This window comes from Homo sapiens, chromosome 5, assembly GCF_000001405.40.
Source record: "Homo sapiens chromosome 5, GRCh38.p14 Primary Assembly".
Classification (NCBI taxonomy): Eukaryota; Metazoa; Chordata; class Mammalia; order Primates; family Hominidae; genus Homo; species Homo sapiens.
Genome location: NC_000005.10, coordinates 170395378 through 170418963, shown reverse-complemented (window position 1 = coordinate 170418963; position 23586 = coordinate 170395378). Strand labels below are relative to the sequence as shown.

The 23586-nt window shown below is 45.5% G+C and overlaps 1 protein-coding gene and 1 long non-coding RNA gene across 4 annotated transcripts in view, besides 2 other annotated features; both read right to left on the bottom strand.

The window, feature by feature from the left end:
- Positions 1-23586, bottom strand: part of KCNIP1 (potassium voltage-gated channel interacting protein 1) — a 383146-nt gene that overhangs the window by 317669 nt on the left and 41891 nt on the right. The window lies entirely within an intron of this gene.
- KCNIP1-OT1 (KCNIP1 overlapping transcript 1) overlaps positions 1-23586 on the bottom strand; it is a 33352-nt gene that overhangs the window by 3881 nt on the left and 5885 nt on the right. The window lies entirely within an intron of this gene.
- Positions 7592-7671: a silencer, noted in NCBI's record as "silent region_16606". NCBI's record gives its function as "represses an Ori minimal core promoter by ATAC-STARR-seq in GM12878 lymphoblastoid cells {active_cell/tissue: GM12878}" and the evidence as "EXISTENCE:reporter gene assay evidence [ECO:0000049][PMID:35858748]".
- Positions 7762-7811: an enhancer, noted in NCBI's record as "active region_23611". NCBI's record gives its function as "activates an Ori minimal core promoter by ATAC-STARR-seq in GM12878 lymphoblastoid cells {active_cell/tissue: GM12878}" and the evidence as "EXISTENCE:reporter gene assay evidence [ECO:0000049][PMID:35858748]".

Genomic DNA, 23586 nt, shown 5'->3' with positions numbered 1-23586 from the left:
ACACTCACTCAAATGGCACGTGAAAAATGATAGCTTCCAGAAAAGAAATGTAAATAGAGGGCTATATGACTGGGGAGGATGAACTGGTTACTTGAGGGCAAGAAAGCCAGGGTTGAGGAACTTGTATGGATAGCTGCTGCTGAGTAGTCTTGAGGGACACCTGGAAATGTGGAGGGATGGTGATCCAGCAGAGAACCCAGTGTGAACAAAGGCTAGGAGGTGGGACGGGCTTTTTGTAGGTACAATGGATCAGTTTGATTGGAGGGAAGGGTGTTAGTGGTGAGGAGGAGACCTCAGGCTGAAAAGTACTCTTAAAGCTCTGAATGGAATGTTGCAGAGTTTGGTTTTGATCCCATGGGCACAGTTTTGAGTAGGGGACTGGATAGGATCTGAATTGTATTTTAAGAACCTTTACCCAGAAGTCACACATAACAGACTGAGGGGGAAGCAGGGAGCCAAGGGAACCCAGTCAGGAGGACTTGAGGAGGCAAGGGCTGGAGAAATGATGGGAAGAGGGTATTTGTTTTGTTTTTTTGAGACAGAGTCTCACTTTGTAGCCCAGGCTGGAGCGCAGTGGTGCAGTCTCAGCTCTGCAACCTCCACCTCCTGGGTTCAAGCAATTTTCCTGCCTCAGCCTCCCCAGTAGCTGGGATTACAGGTGCATGCCACCCTGCCCAGCTAAATTTTGTATTTTTAGTAGAGATGGGGTTTCTCCATGTTGGTCAGGCTGGTCTTGAACTCCTGACCTCAAGTGATCCACCCACCTTGGCCTCCCCAAATGCTGGGATTACAGGCATGAGCCACTGCGCCCAGCCGGGAAGGGGTTATTTGAAGGAAACATTACTGAGGTTGATTTCAGAAGTTTTGGGCACTGATGAGATGTAAAAAATTAAAGGAGGGGTGGAGAAAGGTGATTTTCAGGTTTGGAGTGGGTGGAAAGTGAAAGAGTGGTGCTCATGGAAGAGAGAATTTAACGTGGCAGCACAAAATAAGACTCCTGTGGTGGGCATCAGGAGGCTTATAAGCTGTGTGGTTGCCCAAACGAAGACGTCTAGTGGGCAAGACTGGGTATAAGGAGAGAAGGCCAAGGTGGACAGGTGAATTGGAGAGTCATTTTATTTTAGGAAGTTAGGACTTAGGAAAAGAAGAGAGAGCAAATCAGGTAAATGTATTCGTTGGATTCTCAACAGGAAGCAGATGCTACTCTATGTTCAGGTGATTTGACTCATGATCAAGGTGTCAGTGGCGTATAGAGAAAACACCAGGGGGCATTTAAAACCAGGGCCAGGGCAGCAGAGCTTTTACTATCTGTATACCCACAAAAAAAACAGGGAATGGGGAGTTTACCAGAACCCAGACGACAAGAGGGTTTTGCAGGGTCAGATGCCTTGGGAGGGGCAGTGACTTCTGCCAAGGTGGCCTCACGCAGAAGGGACCAGGTGAATATAGACCCCGTCTCCCATTGGCAGAGAGTGGAGCATTTGGGACAAATGGAAGGTTCCAGCAAAGCAGCCATAGCGTCTACTCTCAGGGAGGAAGAGGCTCACTAATTCCCCAGAAGAGACAGATTTCTGGCTGCTTATTCTTTTACTCAATAACTTTTATTGAGTTTCTTTCTTATTATAAATGTAGTACATGTTCATTGTAGAAAAATTAGAGACTATAGACACGTGAAAATAAGAAATTAAAAGTCAATAGAAATCCCAGTCCTCAGACAAAATGACTGCTTACAAAAATGTGATTATTCTGGACTTTTCTGTTAAAATATATGATTTAGATGTCTTTTTATGTTGGTACATACAAACAGATGTCATTTTGAACAGCTACATTTATATGGAGGCATCACAGTTTATTTAAATAACCCCTCTTAGTGGAGATTCTCATTGAGTTCCACATACTAAATAATACTGCATCCTTCTAACTAAATATTTATACCTCCTTAGGCTCAGTTCCTAGTGGTAGAATTGCTGGGGCAAAAGATACACTCAATTAAAAAGATATTGCACCATATTCTAGCATTAATTTTAAAAAGAGGATATTATTTAAGAGTTAAAGGGTGGATTTCTTTGTTAAACATATCTTAGAAATTTTAGTGAATCTGGGAAAATTACTAAACTTCACTGCCTCAGTTTCCCCATCTGTAAAATGGGGATGATAATAAAACTATGCACCTTACAGGGTTGTTGTTAAGATTAACTTATTTCCTGTTTGCCCCAAGAAATGAGTGCTGGCAGTGAGCTGCACTTTTTTTTTTTCTAGGCAGGAAATGGGTAAAATGAGTTACGGTAAGTATTAAAAAAAATTAGCTGTTACTATTGCCAAATGTCTTCTTACACCGGAGATACTGAGTGGCCTGATCTTCTCCATTTTAAATGCAGAAATGTAGCTTTTTCGTCAAAGACCTTCAACACCAGCTCTGTCGTAGCATTGAGGTGGAAGGGAAGGCCCCTGTGACAAGGCTGAGTTAACAAACCCCTGACCTCCAGCATGGTTTGACCAGGAATGACGAGTCTCTTCAGTGATCATTCCTCCGCATCATTTCTTTAAGCTGACTTCCGGGAGGAGCCGGAAGTGGAGGATCCAGGCCTTCCCTGACTGAGCCTGGAATTTGTGGTTTCTGATTGAGGGCCCGCCCATGAGGGTTAGAGGGGTGGGCTGAGCACTGAGCTGCCCTCATAGCGTTGCCTCCTTGATGGAAGGACTCTCTCCCACCCTGAGATATGACTTGGGGGCCACACCAGCTCTGGCTTCAGCCTCAGGAGTTCAGACCAGATTTAGGAATCCTCCCCAGCCTTCCCAGAGTGAGGCTGGGCGACAAGGAGAGAGGAGAGTGAGAGTGGGCCAGGGGTGGACCTTGGGACATCTGGGAGGTTTCCAGAGGGCTTGTTGTCACTCCTGGAACTGAGTTTGCACCCCTCACTGTGGCCTCCTGACTAGCTTTTCTGGCTCTTGGAGCACCCTTCTCCAATCCCGCTCCCCTCTCCTCCCCAGCAGCCTTCCACAAGGCAAACCTGTTCCTGCCTGAGAGCTGTGCGGTGACTGTGCCCTCTGCCTGGAGTGTTCTTCCTCATGACTTCCCAGGGCTGGCAATTTCATGGCATGGAGACGTCACTCCACAGGGAGGCTCCCCCAGTCACCTCGTCCTCACCTTTATCCACTGGAGAACCTATTGAGTGCCAGGGACTTCTGGGCCCCAGGGATAGAGAGATAATCAAAATAGAAAAAACTCCTGTGGCGCTCATAGCCCAGGGGAGAGGGGCAGACAGCAAACGAGAGAGACACCAGGGAATGATCAGAGAGCTCCTTGGAGACATGAGCCTGGAGGGTTGATAGGACGGTGGGCCTGACACTGGTGTGGACCATGAAGTCAGAAGACTTGTTGCAGACTTGATGTTCCTTCTGAAACTGTTCAGAAAGAAGGAACCAGCCATGTTCCCCGGGGAGGCTAAGCAGTGGTTCTCACCTGGGTGGTGTGTCTTGAGACATTTTTAGTTGTCACGGCTGGGGGTGGGGGGTGCCTCTGGTATCCAGTAGGTAGAGGCCAGGGATATTGCTAAATGTCACAGCACACAGGAGAGTCCCCCCACAGCAAAGAATTATCCCATCCAAAATGTCAGTAGTACCGTTGTAGAAAGTCCTGGGCTGTAGGATTAGGGATCCAAGGATAGGAACACACTGAGGGAAATGTGAGGGACAGGCAGACGGCAAACACAAACACAAAAGCAGGAAGAAATCAGCAGGCAAACCCCTCCCCGGCTTCCTCTATCAGCCCCATCCCCTCACTCAGAAAGAATGAAACAACGTCCTCGTGGGTTATCCCGATTGATTATCATGGCGTCTACTCACAGAAAAAGAGAGAAAAATATATATGACAGGAGATAAAATACTACATTTAAACTTAGCTAAGGTAACAGCATTTATGAATCATGAAAAGTTATGCAGAAACTGAGGTCATCATTGAAAATTCATTCAACAAACATTTGCTGAGCACCTACTACATGCTGGGCATTGGAAGCCTTCCCAACACCTGGAAGAATCTCCTCCCCATTTCCACAGCTTCCTTTTCGCATCACACATAGAAACAAGAAGCCACAGAGTGGGAAAAGCCCAGGTAGATTCAGCACATTTATTTATACCCCAAAGAATACGCATTGAATTTTTAGTTGAAAAGCTCAAGTAGATTTTGATAGAGAAGGGATAGCAAGTAATGATTTCCTTCTTTCAAACACACACACATTTTGTAAGTTCCTGAAACTTGGATCCATTCAATAGTCAACATCTAGCATTAATAGAGTGATAAAAGAAAAACTTCAGCAGAATTAAATTTGAAAGAGTTTAATTGAGCAATGAATGATTTTGAATTGGGCAGCCTCCTGAGCCAGAGTAGACTCAGAGACTCCAGCGCAGCCACGTGGTGGAAAAAGATTTATGGACAGAAAAAGGAAAGTGATGCACAGAGAACAGAAGTGAGGGACAGAAACAGCTGGGTTGGTTATAGCTCAGCATTTGCCCTGTTTGAACATGGTTCAAACAGTTGGCCACATTTGATTGGCCAAAACTCATTGATCGGCACAAGTGTAGGCTACAGTCTGTTTACATCTCTACTTGCTATAGTTCACGATGTGCAGAGAAACCTTTAGGCTGACCTTAAAATATGTAAGGAGGCAGCTTTACGTTAAACTTGATGTAACAATAGACTTTTTCCTAAAAAGCTTCATCGGGTTGATTGCATGTCTCACAGCAGAGGGTACCTTAGATATAAGGGAGAATATTAGATATGACATACAGACCATAGTTTCTTCTCCCTTGCCTGAGGCAGACATTGCTAACTGATTGCAACACTCTTGATTGGATTTACAGAATTCTGGAGCCAGTCTCAGAGTTCTTCCTAAGGCAGGGCTCCTGACACTCCATGCCCATTAATCTTAGTCACTGCGAGGATGAGACATATCTGCCTTCTACATTGACTCTTTGTCACCTTAGGTCACCTCTTTCCCATCTTCAACTTGCTCTGCCTTTTTTTTTTTTTTTTTTTAACTTCCACTCAGGAATGGTAGCAGATACAGTTGGACAAGACCAGGGGAACATGCAGGATTCATAAATGGTTGTGGTTTGCTGATTTCCCCATGTAAGAGAGAAGTGAGTGGCTTCTGAGTGGGTCAATGGCTCCTTCTCACTGTGACAAGGGGAGGCTGGGCTGGTGGAGGAGACCAGTCTGTGCTGAGAGGGAGGCCCTGCCCTCATTCCATGTGGCAGGCCAGGAAGCCAAGGACGCAGTCAGGAGACCATTTTTACATATTTATGTGTAAAAGTCATGTCCAATGTGTGATGCTTTGCAGCTTCCAAAAATCTCTCGCCGTGCTTAATTCCTCGGCCTTCACAACAGTCTGTGACACAGCTACTGGTACCATTCCCATCTTGCAGATGAAGAAACTGAAGCTCAGAGAAGTGCAAGGTCACACCCAGGAGAGAGATGGCTTGATATTTGGGATTTGAGTCCATCTCTTCTGACTCAAGACCTAGTGTTCTTTCTAGTACCACACAGCTGCAGCATTTGCACTGTGACATTTTAATTTTGTGTAGCTATGTTTAGAAAGGTGTCATTATGACCAGAAATGAGCCCACCGAGTGCCAAGGCCAGGCACGATGAGTTTGAAAGTGTCCACTGCAGCTGTGCCTCCTGGCCCCAGCCAGAGGGCCCTGAAAGACCCAGGCCAGGCTTCATCTACCAAGACCCCGCAGTCCTCCGCAATGCAGGTCGGCACAGGAACCAAGGACCTGCCTTGGTCTGCTCTCTGGTGCTCAAGCTAATGTCCTGTGTAGGCCACACACTCGCCGATTTACCCACCATCATTCCTTCCTCCCTTCCTTCATTCACTCATTCAACAGATCTTCACTGAGCACTTACTACGCCCAGCGCTGCTTTAGCACTGAGGATACTGCCTGTGTGCAAAACAGACAACAATCGCCACTGCAGTTTCCATTCCAGAGGGACAGGAGATACACAAATAAAATGAAGGGTATGTCAGATAGTCACGAGGCTGGGTGCCTGGGGCGGCAGGTGTGTGGTGTAAATGAGGGGGTGGGGCTACAGAAGAAAATTTGAATAGGGTGATCAGGGAAGGTCTTGCTGAGAAGGGGGCATTTCAGCAAAGATAAGGATTGAGCCATGTGACCTGGCAGGGAAAAGCATTTCAGGCAGAGGGAACATCTGGTGCAGAGGCCCTGAGGTGAGAGGCAGCAGAGAAAAAGCAAGCTCCCTCACTCTGCACTGCACCCCTGGAGAAAGCTGCATTCTAGTTTTCTCCACCCAAGACAGCACTGCAAGGACCTCCAGGAGGCATTTTGCTGGTTTTTGTTTGTTTTTGTTTCTTCACACTTGTTCCACGATCTTGGGGCAAATCTCCAGAAGTCACATTTCTGGATGAAAGGGTTTGCACGTTTTAAATAGCAGGAGTCACTTCCTGAAACCCTCTCCTATAGCATTTTTCCTCTTTCCCCCTTGGAGGGCCAGATCAATCTCCCCAAATCATTTACCTCTTGCTACTTGAATGTCCAGAGGCCTCAATGGCTGCCTCCTGCCTGCAGGAAAAAAGCTAACATGTTGGACTCACATTCAAGGCTTCCTCCTTCTGTCACCCAAGGCTTCTCCCATCTTTTCTCCTGCTTTTCCCCTATAGAGTCTACTTGCTTCTCCCACAGATGTGCCTGCATGACCTAAAAAAAAATGGAAAGCCAAGGAAGGTCATCTGACTGGTGGGGCCACAAGTCAACTAAACTGTATTGGTGGGCTGGGTAGAGGCTCAGTGGTCACACATCCCTGCAACCCACAGTCCGTTTGTTATGCCTCATCTCTCAACCGTTTGTCCTTTCTTTTCATTGGGTCCAACATTTATTCATTCAGCCAGCATGCACCGTCACTTGCTATGGGCAGGCCCTCTGCTAAGCATGGGGGAACTAGTACTGCCAAACACTAGGCCCCAGCCCTCAAAGTGCACCCTTTCTGGAATCTTCCATAACCCCTCCAACCTCTCTCTCTCCATCTACCCTGGGAGCCTTCCTTGACCAACCCAGAGCCCAGACTGCCCCCTCTTCTGACCTCCACTCACCTACTCACTGACTTTTATTTGGCGCTCGGCATTGGTTTATTGACACTGTTACTTATTATCTTCTAAATAAATCTGTGTTTCATCTCTCCAGCTAGACTGAAGCTAGGAAAGGGCAGAGACTACATCTTATATTAAGTGTCTGCAACCCTCTCTGCACCTAGAAGATTGTCTGGCACCTTGGAGTTGCTTATTAAATATAGATTTGTTGGGGGGATATAATCATGTCTGAATTCTGCTCAAAAAAGAAAAAAAATGTTGATAAAATCCAAATTCCTTAGTGTAGCATTTAAGACCTTTCCTTTAGGATTCCACTAGACATCACCACCTCCAAGAAGCCTTCCAGGTTGACACAGAGCCACTGCCATACACATGTGCACACATGTACACACACAATCTCTCTCTTTCTCTCACTCTCTGTCCCCTGCCTGTCCTCTGTCAGAACATTTGTCTGCACAGTGGATGAGAACTTGGTCTTTGAAGGTACGAACCCCTGGGTTTGAACCATGACTCTGCCACATATTGGCTGTGAGGAAGTCCCCTCATATCTTTGAACCTCAGCTTCCTTATCTGTAAAATGGGCATCATAATGACATTTGCCCCCTAGCGGGGAGAGGAGGTACCATGAAATAAAAGTGAGCAAGTGCTACCAAGGAGCTGTAGCACCTGGCCAGGTCCATGCAAGGCTGCAATCAATTAGCATCGCTTGGATGCAATCATCTTGGCCACATGATATGTCTGGGTGCTCCTTGAGGGCAACATAGAGCTGGCTCTGTTTCCCTCTAAACCTCCAGTACCTGGGAGGGTCTGCAACAGGGAAGGTGCTAAAATCACATTCACTGGGTGGGTGACCATCTATATTTACTTTGATAGAAAATCTGACAAATACAATCATCTCTCATCTCAGAATAGCACTGAATTCCACAGGTGGGGCATGGCTAACAGTAAAAGGCAGGACTCTGGAGTTTCACCTGCGTCTGTGTGGGGCCCTGTTCCACCATCCTCCTAGGCATCTTTGTGCACCTACACTGAGCCAACCTCACAACTCTTCTGACAGATTCACTGAGATTCATTCAGACACCACTGATTTCTTCCTTTTTATCCTGATCCAAATAATTTATATTTTCCCATTATAATTTAATTTTCTCCCTTCCTCCCAAACCAGAGCACATTGCCCACAGAGACATGGGCCATTGTTTGTATTTATAGCTTCCTTATTAATCCTGCCCTGACCTCTGGTGCAGAGCTCAGCCTGGGGAAACAACTTCAGTTCCCTTTCCACAGGGCCTATTTAAAATGCCTTTATTTTAATTGGTCCAAAACAGAAGATGAGCTAAAAAAGAAAAAAAAAAAAGCCAGCCTTCCTATTCCATTTCAGGGTGCAAGAACAACATGCAGGTGCCCCTGCACTATGTCTGCGATCCCCTGTGTGGGGGACCCGGTGCACCCATGCTGTGTCTGCAATACCCTGCATGGGGGACCCAGGTGCACCTGCACTGTGTCTGCGATCTCCTGAGTGGGGGACCTGGTACACCTTCACTGTGTCTGCGATCTCCTGAGTGGGGGACCTGGTACACCTTCACTGTGTCTGCGATCCCCTGTGTGGGGGACCCAGGTGCACCCATGCTATGTCTGCAATCCCCTGAGTGGGGGACCCAGGAGGCCCTGCACTGTGTCTGTGATCCCCTGAGTGGGGGACTCAGGAGGCCCTGCACAGGGCAGGCTGATGAGACGGGATGGCTGGCAGGGGCTCACAGCACTCTGATGGCTTTGCCCAGGATTCCTGATAGTTACACTGGATCTTAGAACAAAATCATATAAAACTGGAAAACACTATGGATTCAGATTTGGCCTTTAGCAAAACACACTTAAAAATGCCAGTCAAATGCTAACAGCTAGCCTCTTAGATATTTACTACTTGTTTTTGAGTATTTACCAGACTTTAGGCACTGATCTAAGTTCTTTCTGGGTATTAACCCCTTGAATGCTCATGACAACCCAGAGGAGAAATACATTATGTTGCCCATTTTACAGGGAAAGACACTGAGGCACACTGAGGGTATGTAACTCAACCAAATTCCTCAGCTCTTAGCAGCACACAGGGCCAGGCCTCGCCCATGTGAATACTTTGTAGAACTGGCATAAGACACCCTGCTGTCGGTGGAATTCCAGGGACCATGGCTTAGTAGAGTGGCACAGGCTGGGCCCCCCTTGTCATCTTGGCCTGGAGCTCTGGAACGGGCCATAAGCCACACAACCCTACATGGCGATCCTGGTGGCAGGGGTGGATTGGAACCCAGACTGCCTCAAGAGCCTGTGCGTGTCACTACTGCACAACCCTGCCTCTGTGAACTTATTCATGGGGTACTGTTTGTTCCCAAGTTACAAGAGCAAAGCCGTGGGATGGAGAAGTGACTTGAACTTGTTGGCTTGCTGAGAGCAACTGGACACATGAGTTCACACCCACATTGCACACATTGTGACCCCAGGTCTAATCCCTGAGGGCAACTTTTTGAGGCCTCAAGACCCTGAAGGCAGGTGGTCCCAGGGGAGTGTCCTGATGGATTTTTGTAAATTATGAACCCACTCCCAGCCAAGGAGGACAGTGGTGACACAGCCAAGTTTGAGATTTCAACTTCAGGAGATGGCATGAGGGCAGAGGAATGGCACAGTCTTGAGCATCAGCCAGACCAGTGTTCACATCCTGGATCTGCCTCTTAGGTCTGTGTGAGCTCGGGTGCATCAGTAATCAGGCTGAGTCTGGAGATGAACAGTCACTGATTGTTGGGTCCCTAGAATAGAGCCTCTCCCCGTACTGCCCCTCCCGCCTCTGCAGCCCTGAGGGTTGCTCACTGGCAAACCCCACCTGCTTGCCCACTTTGCAGTGCCTGGGGAGTGTGTGCTATTGATGGCACCTTTAGAGACCAGGTGTTCCAGGACTGAAATGTTTCCAGAGCAGCCTGACTTTCCCTCCAGCACCTTCCTTCTTCCTTCAAATACCCACGCAAAAAGACCCACCGCCTGACTGAGCCTTCACTCTGCTGCTCTTTTTCTGTGCATTCTTTTTTCTTTTCAGCTAAGGTTTTTTTGACAAGGGCCGCAGTGACAGCAGAGAAAGCGTTCTTCAAGAAGCCAGGGGGTATTTAAAATACAAGTTTTCCTTTATGCCAATAAGAAATACCAAATACCCCAAACCACCACCTTCATTTCACTCAAACTATGCCAATTACTTTCTCTCATCGCCCGAGAAGGATAGGAATGCATTTGGAATTGGACAATTTCCTCTCTGTCTGACACATGGAAAGCAGCTAGGGACAAGTGTGCTTCTGCGAGGTGTTTTTCCCCCTCCTAGTTTGGGGTGCAGGATGATTCTGCTCACGCTCTTGGAAATCACAGACACCTGGCTCCTATTAAATTACATGACAATGAGCTCATTCAGTCAGCCCGTGGTGAGAGCAGATTACAGACCAGGATCTGGCTGAGCCATGGAGATTCCCTGAGGATTAACAGCTTGCATTCAAGCAACTGGTCTCCCTCCAATGGCCCTGCTCTATCTAACTGAGGCTCTTACGAGCCAAGAACTCTTCCATAAACAGTTCTCTGCCAGTCAATAATTTGAATCTCCTTCTATCATCTAGTAACCATCTTTTATCTAACAATTCCCTCCTCCAATTAATGCCATCCACTATTGACTACTGTGGGATTTCAAGATAACATTAACAGCCAAATGACAACAGCTAGCATTTGAGTTTTATCTCATGAGCTACTCTAAATGGTCCACTCATATTACCACCCTTAATCTGTTCTAGAAGCTAAAAACTATTATCCTGCCCAGGTTACAGGTGGGAAAGTTGAGGCTGAGAGAGATTAAGCTATTTGACTTAAGTCACACAGCAGAGTAAGTTGTGCTTCAACAAAGCCCATGCTTTTTGAGGGACACCCCTATAGCTAAGATGCCACCATAGTTTGAAGGTCACTGTCACTACGCCACTGAAGATGAGGTAGTGTTTTGAGCAAACAGTATAATTTACACCCATAAATCCGCTATGACATGTTTGGAACCTGAGCAGGAATGTGACACATTTTCAGATTGGGCACTTGTTCTGTCAATAATGTCCAAGTTTGCCCTGCCCTCAGGAAGCGTGTTGGGTGGTTGGAAGTCAAGACTAGCAAATGTAAAATGATGACAGAAACAACACAAGGCAGATCCTAAAATGTGTTCTGAAATTTATAAATACTGTAGGGCAATGCTTTCCAAAGTGCATTCTATAGAAATGCAGTTCCCTGTAGTATTAACATGTCTTTAAAAAATATTCAACAGTCACAAATATGATAATAGTCTTTGTGTTCAAGGATTGGGATTGTTGGTAAAAATTTCAAACCTCCCTATCTTTACATAGCATTTAAAAAAATTTTTTTGTTACACTTATGGATAGAAGGAAATAAAAGTATCAGCCAAGGCAGACAGTACCCTTACCTTTCTAAATTCCTGCCCATCCTTAGATCTATAAATGTTTCTCCCATTCCCAGCAGCTGCACCCACCTTAGTTGTGGGAAAGCACCTGCAATCCTTGTCTTTCTTGTTACGCAACATGATGGGGCACAGACCCAGCCCTGGGGTCCTTAACCATGGCACGTGCAGCTTCCCCCGCTAGCAGTAGCATGCTGTCACTCTTAACTCGTCTATGGTTAGCTGGTCCGTGGTGTGGACAGGCAAGGGCTGCTGCCCACCATGCGCACCACAGACCCTAGGCTGTTTCCCAGTGTCAGTTCCTCAAAATCACCCCCAAGGCTCCATGCTGCTCTGAGGACTCCATTAGCTGAGGATTTCATAGGCTGAGTATCTTGCGAGCAAGAGAACAGTATGGACTTCTTGGTCTTGAAAGCTGCTGAATGGTGCTGGGTTGAGTCTGAGGAAGCTGATGCCCCCACATCTCTTGGGGTTTTTATTTGGGGTCTCCAGCTTTGGGATCTTCTGTTGACACTCATGGCACAGATTTGGGCCCATGGCCTTGCCTCCTGCCTGGCCTTGGACCTCATGAATGCGGAAGGCCTGGGGTTCTCCAAGCTCTAGGCAGGAAGCAGATTCCTCTCTGTGCAAAGACCCTCCAGGCCTCGGAATGAGGAAGGAGCCTAAGAGGGAGAGGGTGTGAACCTTCTGGGGCCGACATAGGAAGAAGAGAGGGATGCTGATGTGGGAGGAGAAATAAACCGCTTTCCTGGGTATGAGGGCTAGTAAGCTTACTGGCCCCTGCTGAAGGTCTTCCAGGCCATGCTGCCTTGAACAGGCCACTCACCTCTTGTGCCTGAGCCACTTTTTAAATTCAGTAGGTGTAATTATTGCTACCTGCCATTTCTTGTCAAAATCCTTATAATAACCCTGTATGGGTTATTATGTCCATTTTAGAGATGGAAAAACCAAGGCACAGAGCAGTCAAGTAACTTGGCCACATTTACACGACCAATAATGGGTAGGTGATTTGAGGCTGAGTGTGTTGAACTCCAGAGCCCTTGCCCTCAAATGCTATACACACAAGCTCTCCAGCTTACTCTTCATTTATTTGCTCAAAGGGCCAGTCCTCTTTTAACTTCCAGACCCACGGATCCGTGATTTTCCATAAACGTACCCCCAATCTCTCTCCCACCAACTCACTGCTCATGGTGATCCCAATTTCCCTTATATTAGAGCCAAATATTTTTAGAAAATCTTCAATGAAGCTTGTTATCTAGGAGGAAAACATAGTAACTATAAATGCAATTATCAGTTAGCTGGTGTTTTAGACAAACAAGGAACTGAGGAAGTAAAAGAGGAGACAGATAAGTTTTGAGGAAGTGGAAGAGGTGTCTGGCTGAAATGTCAAGCCCGGAGAAACGGGCAGGGGAGAGGTATTCTAGCCCCTAGTCTCTATCTGGATGTGGGACAAATCTTGGTGTTGCCAATCACACAAGGTTTCCATGAGAATCACATGGAAACATGATTGAGCAGGGGCTGGTAACACAGCTGTGGAAAGGGACTGTGAGAGCCAGCCTGGGATGGGAGCTCGTCTGTGATACCACCTGCTCCCCAGCTCAGGGTGCAGGTGTTACCATCACTGGTCCAGGAGACTCCTCATCCAGTCTCACATGGACAAGAAGATCACAGGGGCCTGAACCAATCGTTATGTACCACAGAACTGACTGTCAGAGAACAATGACCACAGACACTAATACTTTTGCCCAAGGAAGGGTCTGCCCAGTTGTGCTTCATTCCAGCTTCCTGGCATGAGGCACCAGGAAAACAAAATGAATCAAGAGAAGCCAGGAGGCCCTGCAAGGATGCCTGAGTCCAGGCTGCTGCTGAGAATCCCTCTTCTCAGCTGGGCACAACGGCTCAGGCTGATAATCCCAGCACTTTGGGAGGCCAAGGTGAGCAGATCACCTGAGGTCAAGAATTCAAGACCAGCCTGGCTAACCTGGCGAAACCCTGTCTCTACTAAAAAATTAAAATATACTAATAATTAACTGGGCATGGTGGTGGTGCCTGCAGTCCCAGCTACTTGGGAGGCTGAGGTAGGAGAATCGCTTGATACCTGGAGGCGGAGGTTACAGTATGCCGAGATTGCACCACTGCACTCCACCCTGGGCAACAGAGCAAGACTTCATCTCAAAAAAAAAAGAAAAGAAAATCCCTTTTCTCTCTGTGGCTGGAGGTAAAGCAGCATAATTTTGCAGGGCAATTTGGCATATGTATTATTTAATCCATATTTCTTTCATTTATCAGAATATCAAAAACCATTTATGCCTGGTTGAATCCACTTCTGGGAGTCTATCCCAAGGAAACAATCAAAATTACAGAAATACCTGTCTGCATCAAGATGTTCCATGCAGCTTTATTTATGTGCTGGAGAACCGGAAGTCATCTTTATGTTTAATAATTGGGAGATGCTTAAGTAAACTGTAGTCTGTCTACTATCCAAATAATGTCATGAATCCTTTGTATTAGTAAGGAAAAAATCATAATGCGATAATAAATTAAAAATGGAAAGGTAAAAAACTTCACGCAGTCCTGATAGATTGCAAAAATGGCCACAATATTTTGTAGTTCCTCCATCAAGAAATAAACTTTCTTTACCCCACTGAGTCTGGGCTAGCCTCATGATCTGCTTGGACCAATCAAATGCTTGTAAGTGACAGTGTGAGTTTCAAGCTTGGACCTCTAGAGGACTTGCAGCTTCTGCTTTCCCTACTGCTTCTGCATCTTGTCACCATGAGAACAGGCTCGTCTAGCCTGCTGAGAAACACATGGCATAGTCACTAGCCTGTCACCCATGATAGCCAGGCAACCACCTGACACAAGGGAGGCCCCTGGGACCGACTGACTGCAAGTACATGAGTGATCCTAGCTGAGATCAGCCTAGCCCAGCCCAGAAGAACCACTCAGCAGAATCCTGAGCATCTGGTGCCACTACATTTTGAGGCTGCTTGTTACACAGCAATGGATAACCAATACAACAGCCTATGATGATAACTATGTACAGAAAAACCATTTACAAAGGGAAAAAAAAATCTTGGAAAAAAATTTATAAATGCACATAGTACATTTATTAAATGGTAGAATTATAGATGATTTTTTATTAGTTTCCAATTTTTAAGACTGTGCTTAAGCTATTTACACTGATAAATAAATGCACATTTTAAAAACTAAAACCTGAAGCTTAATTTTCCTCTCTGGAGAGTTCTAATTCAAACCTCTCTGGCATGTTTGTGTTCAGAGTTAGGACCTCATTATAATCCCCTGCCTCCTGCCCACAAGAGATGCAGGAGGAGACTTAAGCCATGTGCTCTAGTGCAGGACCAAGACAGTGGTTTCTGGAGGGCGGTCCTCAGCCCCACTCTGCTTCTTCCCCACAGGCTCTGAAGTGGGAAGCTTAGGAGCTGTTTTCTACTACAATATGCAGCTCCCCTCTGTGAATCCCTCTGGTATGCAGTGCAGGTGGCTCCACACCAGGAGTCACTCTTTAATTGCTTCACTGTGTTCAAAGAGCTCCTCAACCAAAGCCGGCGTAGTAGGAGGAATCTGGCATTTGGAGTGTAAAGGCCTGAGCTCAAACTATAGTTCGGTTCTTCCTGGCTTCTGCATTCATTTCTTGGGCACCTGCTATGCATTAGGGCCTGAGCTATGCCTGAACATTCAGAGATAAGCTGACCACGGCTTCCATCCCAGAGGAGCACTTGGCCTTGGGAAGGAGACCTATACACTCAAAAGCCACTGTCCTCCAAAGTTAGGATGGCCACTTCATTTACTCAAACTAGGGCACATTTGAGAGTAAAAGGAGATGACAGGAGTAAACAGGGCCTTTCCATGGCTGATGGGGACCTGTGGTCATGCTGCCTACAGCCCCATCCCTCTGTATGGGGTCATAGTCAAGATGTACAGTCTAGCACACAAAAGGACTTTAAACAAATTCAGAAGAAAGTCACTGCTTTTCCATAAACACATAAAAGAAGATCATGTTCACAATTCTCAGTTATGTTTCTCGTATTTTTCCTCTGCTCTTGAATCTTTCCTAACTGAATCTGCTCCAAAATCCCATACATGTCAAACTAGGAAAACTTTTCTAGGACATCTGGCCCACGTGGAGTTTCTTTCTATCTTTCTGTCACCCCCTCCCTTTCTGGCTCTTATCTCTGGTACCTCTCTGCCTCCTGCCTTTCCAGCTCTAGCTCTCTCTACCCATTCTCCAAAGGGACAAATGAGAGAGGGAGGAGAACTGAGAGCCAAAGTACAATTTGGGAGGTGGTGTAAATCAGTCTTACCAATCATGTTCCTGGCACGCATATAGATAAATCATATAGTGGGTTAAATCCAAAGATGGAACAGGCGTACGTGAACGAGGGGCACCTAATTCAGCACCCCTTAATAAATAATAATTGAACTGTGACTTAAATGCTCTGTGACAGTGAAATCACCTAACTTTCCTGAGCCTCAAAGTTCTCTTCTGAAAAATGAGTGAAATAATGAATTACATGAATGAAGAATAAGTAAATGAATGACACTGTGGCAGCCGTGGCCAGCTGACCAACAAGGTGTGGTGCTTTCCCCCTGCCTCCATCCCAAGAGTGTGATACTCATGCTGAGAAGCCACTGAGCCTTCAGGGGCTACATTTCCCAGACTCCCTTGCAGCTGGGCAGACCACATGACTAGTCCTCACCAATGGGATGTAAGGATCAGTAACGTATGTCACTTCCAGGCCAATGTGTCTGTGTATCAGATGTTCAATGATTCACATGCTCTCTCTGCCTCTCCTGCTCCCAGTCTACCTGCTGGATAACTCCAGGGGGACCTCAAGGCCACAGGATGGTGCAGCCACAGATGGAAGAAGCCTGGTTCCCCCAGCAACCACCTAGAGGACAGCCTCCCAAGCAGGAACATCCATATTGGACTTCCCACGAGTTAGAAATGCCCTGTTATTGTATAATACCATTAAAACCTTGGGGTGGTTGCGGCAGTTAGTCCATCGTGGCTAATTCACCTCCCTCTCAGAGTTGTTATATAGATTGAATAAGATGAGTATAGTGACTTGAATGGGGTCCCCACAAAAGATATGTCCATGTCCAAATTTCTGGTACCTTGAATATGATCTTATTAGGAAAAAAAGAGTCTTTGTAGACATTATTAAACAAAGGATCTTGAGCTCTTCTTTGATTACCTGGGTGGGCCCTAAATCCAACAGTAAGTATCTTTATCAGAGACAGGAGAGAAGAAGCCACTGACAGAGCAGGAGAAGGCCACATGAAGACAGAGGCAGAGCCTGGAGTGCTGCAGCCACAAGCCAAGGAGTGCCTGCCACTACCAGAAGCTGGAAAAGGCAAGGAAGGATTTTCCCCTTAGAGCCTTTGGAGGGAGCACGGGCCTGCTGACAGCTTGATTTTGAACTTCTGGCCTCCAGAGCTGTGAGGAAATACATTTCTGTTGCTTTAAACCACCCACCCAGTTTGTAGTGATTTGTGTCACAGCAACTCTATGAAAGTACCGTAGGGAGCCATGTGCCAGGCCTAGTGCAGGGCCTGGCATGAAGAAGGCACTCAGTAAATTATGAGGGATTTTTTTTTTTTTTTTGACAGAGTCTCAACGTCACTCAAGCTAAAGTGCAGTGGCGAAATCACGGCTTACTGCAGCCTTGACTTCCTGGGCTCAAGCCATCCTCCCACCTCAGCCTCTCAAGTAGCTGGGACCACAGGCATGCGCCACCATGCCTGGCTCATTAAAAGAAATTGTAGAGATGGGGTCTCACTATGTTGCCCAGGCTGGTCTAGAACTCCTGGGCTCAAGCAATCTTCTCGTCTTGGCTTCCCAAACTGCTGGGATTATAGACATGAGCCACCGTGCCCAGATTAAATGCTGATTTTTAAAAAATCAGTCCTTTTATGCTCCTTCACTTCCCTCCTTAGAGACAGAGTCTTCTGGGAGATGGTGCTCTGCTGAGAACTCCCAGAGAAGATTCTAGTGAAGTTCATAATAATATTCACTCTGAGTGTAAATGTAGACCTTGAGCTTTGCAGGAGCAATCTTATTATTTATGGATTACAGACATACATTTTCATTAATGTGTAACAAAAGGGGATTAAAAAGCCTCTCTCTGCAGTGTGTCTTTGTAAATGCCCACAGGAAGTAGCTCCTGGGACTGCCAGCCCTGTAGGCAGCTGAAGAATCTGTCTCAGGCACAAGGTCCTGGCTCAGAGAGAGTCTCTGGCTCAGGATTAGCAAGGCGTGTTAGGAGGGCTATTCTGAGTCCCACCCCAGGCTGAGGTCCAAGGATGGTAGGGGAGCCCTCTTCAGAGCTGCCTGAGTCAGGCTATGATGGAGGGAACAGGGAAACTTAAGGCTCCAGAGATACCTATCCAATATCACTAGTTACATGTGGCTATTTCCATTTACATTAATTAAGGTTAAAAGTTTAGTTCTCCACTTACACTGTTCACATTTAAGTGCTCAACAGCCATAGGTAGCTAGTGGCTATTGTATCGAATGGCTTAAAGTTATAGAACATTTCCACCACCACAGAAAGTTCTGTTTGGACCACACTGCTCAGACAAGAAGGAATGGGGGTTTCGGCTCTAAGGTACTAACATCATGACCTTGGACAAGAAATGCTGTGTTTCCACCTCAGTGTCCCCATCTATAAAATTAGGATAACCACAGTAACCACTTCAAAGGGTCAGGATCAAATGAGATACTGCAGTTCAAGTACTTAGCACAGTTCTTGGCACATGTTGGTGATCAGTAATTGAGAGTTCTCACTAGTGGAGAAATATTCTACAAAGAGGAATGATATGGCTAGGCTCTGTGTCCCCACCCAAATCTCATCTTGAATTGTAATACCCAGGTGTTGAGGGAGGGACCTGGTGGGGGGTGATTGGATCATGGGGGAAGTCTCCCCCATGCTGTTCTCATGATAGTAAGGGAGTTCTCATGAGATCTGATGGTCTTATAAATGGTAATTTCCCCTGGGCTTCTCTCTCTTTTTCCTGCCACCTTGTGAAGAGGTGCCTGCTTCCCCTTCTCCTTCCTCCGTGATTGTAAGTTTCCTGAGGCCTCCCTAGCCATGCAGAACTGTGAGTCAATTAAACCTCTGGTGCTTATAAATTACCCAGTCTTGGGTAGTATCTTTATAGCAGTGTGAAAACGGACTAATGCAAGGAATAAGGCAAGAATATGGCATAGGAGTCAGGAAGCATGGACTCCTGGCTGGGTTCTGGCACTCACGAGAGGCTGTCGAGACAGGCCTGAATTCCAATCCCTGGTCTAACAAAGCTATGTGGCTTTGGGCAAATCACTGCACCTGTCTGAGCTCACATGGCTCACCAACAGAACAGAGGTGTGTATTTTATCAGATCCTATGCTTCCAGAAAAAGAGAAGAGGCAGAGGCTTTTAATGGCTAATATTCTTTGGCTCTGATCATGCTTTTAGGAACCTGTTGGAAGGAAATAATCAGAGAGGTGAGCAAAGATGACATGAACAGATCATCACTGGAGAGTAGTTTATAATAGCAAAACCTGGAAAATAGCTTAAATGTCTCAGAAGAGGAAATAGTAAAACATTTTATGACATATCTATATGATGGACTATTATAGGGCCATGAAGTACTGGTATTTTGAAAAGCAATATTACATAAATGGGGAAAGTGTTTCTATTTAAAATAAGAACACATTTTAAATTGTATAGTATATTCCTAAGTTTGTTTTTAGAAAGGATTTGTATCAATCTTTAGAACATAATCCACTAATATTTTGACTGTGGTTTCCTCAGGATATTGAATCTTGATTGATTTTTATTTTCCCCCTTTTTTACTTTTCTGTATTATCAAGTTCTCTATGACTTACCTCTATTACTTTGTAAATAGAAAACATTACTCAAGGACAAAGTGGTCATGTAGGCCTGTTATAGAAACCCCTGTTTACCAGGCCTCTGGTTTAATAAAATGCGACTAGAGTGACTCCATATTGAAGTGAGCAGGCAGGCATTCACAAAGCGTGTTTAAGGTTAATGCTAATGGTCTGAAAATAGCCAAATTCTAAGCTGACCACCACTTATAATTATGTAATATTTATGGCCATACAGAGCATCTCCCAGCAAGCCTGTACAATGTCCGGATATCTTAAGAGTACAGCCAATTTTACTTAAAGATAACATCGGTTAGCAGGCTTAGGGTAAAAGATTCATGGTCATTGATAACACCAATAGCCCTTACCTTTGGTAAGCACATCTACACATTCCAAGTGTAGAGCTCCTTCTAATTTCTTGCAAGTAGACACACTCACAAAGGATGGCATGCTCCTCCTCCTGCTGAGGATGCCCTACTCTGTAACAAAGTAGTTTCCAATAAACTTGCTTCTTTCGCTGTCCTCTGTGACTCTCCTTGAATTATTTCCTGCGTGAGATCCAAGAATCCACTCTAGGTGTCTGGATCAGGACCCTCTTTTCCAGCAACAAGCCTAGATGACCTCTAAGGGCCCTTAGAGGGCTGACATTCTATGGCTCAGCAAAGAAAGTTTACAGAATAACCTGTTTATAATCTCAAAACCCCCTGCCCATGCTGAGAGGCTGGGAGGGATTGGGGTGGGGCATTCAGCCCCTGGAGCCGGTCCTGACCTGAACCACTTAGAGCAGCTGATGAAGATTGGGCCTCTGAATCTTGCCAGAGAAAAAGGACAGTTAGAATGGTCTAAAACAGGGGCTTCTTATTTATTCCTGATCACAATTTGGGACAAATAAAATATTTCACTTCCAATGAACATATAAAGGACTGTACAATCTTGCTAGTAATCTAAAGAAAGCAAATTTAAAAACAGATGAAAGAGTTTTCACCTAGCCAAAAGACACATATTTCCAAATTTAAGAGTGTTAAGAATTGGTGATTATGTGTGAAATTAACCAGTCTCCTCTACCAGCAGTGAGTACAAGAATTGGTATCGGTATTCTGGTAAAAGGTGTGAAATATATACCAAAATCTTAAAAATGTAGAAACCTTTTGCCCTAGAATTTTGGCTTGGAGGTCCAGTCTTTATTCTAGGGAAATAACAAAAAGTGTGCAAACATTCGTAAACCAAAAATAAAATTTTAAGGTCCTCCCAACCATCTGAATGGATCCCTTCTCTCACCAGGGCATTCCAAAAGTAACCTGAAAAACTGGTTCAGGTCATGATGGAAAGAGGGGTCCAGATATGCCTCATTATGCCCTCCTCCCTTTTGGATTTCAGGAAAAGCTGACCAGCATTTAACGTCAACACAAACCTTAAGTCTGATAAGAAACATCTACAATCTATTCTCTCTGAAGCCTGCTTCCTGGAGGCTTCATCTGCATCATAAAACTTCAGTCTCCACAACCTCTTATTATAACCCCAACATCCCTTTCTATAGATTATAACTCTTTCAACCAATTGCCAATCAGAAAATGTTTAAATCTACCTATAACCTGGCAGCCCCCTCTTCAAGTTGTCCCACCTTTCTGGACTGAACCAAGCCATCTCTTAAATGTATTTGATTGATGTCTCCCAAAAATGTATAAAACCAAGATGTGCCCTGACCACCTTGGGCACATATTCTCAAGGTCTCCTGAGGGCTGCATCATGGGCCATTGGTCACTCATATTTGGCTTAGAATAAATATCTTCAAATATTTTACAGAGTTTGACTCTTTTCATCAACCTATTTTATGCAAAGAATATTTAATGAGGCACTGTTTATGGAACCTGAGTTTCCTGAGCTCTTACCAGCCTGGGGCTCCAAATTAGCCACATAAAATTTGACTTACAAATGTTTAGAGTCCCTACCTACATACCTTTCAGACCCCTACAAATATTTCTGGGGGATTTGCAGGGAGTCCCCATGTGCTCAAGCCCTCTTTTTTTGCTCTTACCTAGTTTTCCTGTCCCAAAGCCACATACACAGGGAGATGGACTGATATCTATGTAAGCCCCTCCTGACCCCTCCTCACTCTCTAGCTGGCTCTGCCCTGGAAACTGATCACTGGGGACTGCAGCAACAAGCTCTTTGTCTGTCTACCAGTTGGATTCAACCAAAGGAGATCAGGTGTCTGCAGAAGGGTCTGTACGCCAAAAATAGAATGCTAAGCCGCTTGATTGACTGAATGGATCCCACCTCTTGGCCAAGGGGATTTCAAAGAAACCTGAAAAACTAGTTCAGGCCATAATGGGGAGGGGATGTTGGACATGCCTCTTAATAAAATACCTTCCTCCCTTTGGTATTCAGGCACAACTTACCAGCATTAACATTAAAACAGAGGTCTTAAGATGACAAACAGACTCTTTGTAGTAATAAATACCAAATTCCAACCTGACTGTAGTATAGCATCACATGACAGATAGCAGGCTCTGAAAGAAACAAGTATTTTAACCCCAAACTATATTTATTTGACATATTTTGAAATAGTCCTGCAAAGTTGTCATTTGTGGGGAAAATCTACATTCTGCAGAGACTCCCCTTCCCTTTCTAAGTCTTTTTCTCATCCCAGAGAGATTTAACTAAGAGTCTAATCAGACCTTCTAAGGTCTGGTAAGAGACATTTATCATTTATTCTTTCTGAAGCCTGCTACCTGGAGGCTTCATCTATATAATAATAACCTTAGTTTCCATAACCCCCCTTCGTGGTTCTTTCTGTTGACTTCAACTCTTTAGGCAAAACTTAATTATTTCAACCAATTGCTATTCAGGAAATCTTTGAATCCACCTTTGAATCTTTGAATCCACCAGGAAATCTTTGAATCCATCCCCATTTGAGATGTCCTGCCTTTCTGGGCTGAACCAATGTAAATCTTATGTGTATTCATTGATGTCTGCCTGTAGCTTCTGTCTCCTTAACATTTATAAAATCAAGCTGTAATTCAACCACCATGGACACATGTTCTCAGAACTTTCTGAAGCCTTGTCACAGGTCATGGTCCTCACATTTGGCTCAGAACAAATCTCTTCAAATAATTTGCAGAGTTTGGCTTTTTCATCAACACATTCCAGGAGAGTGAGCATAGCAGTCCATTCCCCAGTTCCTTCCCTGAGGGTCTCCCCAGGCTGGGAGCATCCCCTCTCAAGAAGATTCTCCTGCTGATCCTGGACAGAGCTCCCTTCCCTCAGCCCTCAACCAACATTGCGAGCCCCTAGGTCACTGTTCCCTGTGGTTTCCTATAACCTGTCCACACCTTCATTCCTAATACCTCCTCAGGTTTCCCAGTTGAAGTGTATCCTCTAAAGTGGTGTGCTGGCAAAACAGCTCTCCAAAAAGACAAAAGCCCTGATGTGTATTGTTTGTAGATTTCCACAGTATAGCTACTCCCATCACTGTGGTGGATTTTCAGCTCCTGATGGTTGAACACTTGGCTTGCAAAGGCTCTCACGGTGCCAGTGTGAGCCAGCTGCAGCACACCTAGGGACACCGATTCACACAGGAGTCTACCTTTGCTGCAGCTATTTTAGATGATAATGATGGCCATTATCTGTCAGGGCCACTGCCCAAGGCCACAGCTAAGCAGAAGTGGAAACACCCTCTTCGTAGGTCCCAAAGTGGCATTTCTTGTGTTCTGAGTCCCACAAGCCCTAACAACAGCTTTCTCTCTCTTGCTCTCTCTCACTCACTAAGGCTCAAGTCAGGCCTGGGACAGGGTTGAGCAATTGCCAACCTGTCACCATCTCCCACTTCTATGATGTTGCCATCTCTATCCACCTGTTCTGGTCCCCAAACTTTGTGCTTATAGATACAGTCTCCCTTATACCTGTCCATTCATGAAAAATGACATCTGGGCATGGGTGTGGTTCAGGGGTAGAGAATAAAACAGGTCTGCCCATAGCAGAGGCGGACTCTGCCTTCCGCTAAACACAAACAAGCATGCAGGGAAGCAAGTACCCTTCTTAAATATCTGACAACATGGCTTTGATGAAATCTATCCCGACTTAGCCATAACCTAGAAAACTGTATAGCCTTTCTA